The sequence below is a fragment of the Homo sapiens genome, chromosome 1 (assembly GCF_000001405.40).
Source record: "Homo sapiens chromosome 1, GRCh38.p14 Primary Assembly".
Lineage (NCBI taxonomy): Eukaryota > Metazoa > Chordata > Mammalia > Primates > Hominidae > Homo > Homo sapiens.
The window spans coordinates 5642971-5644132 of record NC_000001.11 but is presented as its reverse complement, the minus strand read 5'-3'; the positions used below and the strand labels follow the sequence as shown (position 1 = coordinate 5644132).

General features: G+C 46.3%; 1 annotated feature.

The window, feature by feature from the left end:
- Nucleotides 227–798: an enhancer, noted in NCBI's record as "H3K27ac-H3K4me1 hESC enhancer chr1:5703395-5703966 (GRCh37/hg19 assembly coordinates)". NCBI's record gives its function as "activates a minimal SCP1, AML or CMV promoter by ChIP-STARR-seq in primed H9 embryonic stem cells {active_cell/tissue: H9 hESC(primed)}" and the evidence as "EXISTENCE:reporter gene assay evidence [ECO:0000049][PMID:30033119]".

The following is a 1162-nucleotide window of genomic DNA, read 5'->3' as shown; positions in this document are numbered from 1 at the left end:
GCCATTTTCCACCCCCAAAGCCTTCTTGGTGGGGCATTCGGAAACACTTCTCTGCATCCACCCAGTAGCGTGGGGTGCTGTCTGTCACTGGGCCAGGGTGCAGAAGACTTGCCACCTTTGGGGCTTCCATCCAGCCTGAGTCTGGGATCTCTGTGGCAGGCCCAGCAGCACACAGAAGTTCTCATTCTGGTTCTGCGGCTCAGGGCTCCTACCTGCACGGCAGATGGCTCAGCACTCTGCTAGCAATGCACAGCTGTGGGCCCAGGGACACGCAGCTCATGAGCCAACCGTGAGCTCGCGGGGCAGGCTGGGGGAGCAGGCATCAGAGCGTGGCAGGCAGGGGCTGCTCCTCGGTCAGTGCCCTGTGCCTCCGCCCTTCCTCTTCCAGCTCTGTGAGGTTTCCAGACCTTTTGGTTCAAACCCTGGTCTTGAAAGATGCCAATGGGCTATCAGCTGTCTTGAGGAGGGCACAAAATCATCACAGCAGAATCTCTTCCAATTTACTTTTTAAATGTGCCCCTTGGTTTCTGGACACAGGAGGGCAGTCAGTAGCTACTGGGCCGGCCCACAAACCTGAATCGAGAACTGTGGTGGCGGCCGGAGGAGGGAGATCAGACTGGTATTCTCAGCTTCCTTACACCTTGTCCAAGGTCACAAACCCACAAGTCAAGGAAAAGGAAATAGCAGGGCCCTTAAACCTATGGGAGGGAGGTCTCACCCTTCATATGAAATCCTGCCTGAAATGAGCACTTTTTCTTTTTTAAAAATTTTATTTTTATTTTACTTTAAGTTCTGGGATACACGTGCAGAACGTGCAGATTTGTTACACAGGTACACACGTGTGCAATGCTGGTTTGCTGCACCTATTAACCTGCATTTAGGTTTTAAGCCCCACAGGCATTAGCTATTTGTCCTAATGATGAGCACTTTTTCTTTCTTTTTTTTTTAAAATTTTAATGATGTTATTTTTTTTAGGATATTTTTTAAAGGATAAAGAAACAGATGAAATTAATTTTAACGATGTTATTTAACTTGACGTATCCAAAACTTAATCATTTCAGCATGTAATGAGATTTTTACATTCTTTTTATCATACTATGCCTTTGCAATCAGTGTTTTTCTTTTTTTCATATTGAAATTCAAATGATTATTCCCTCTTTTG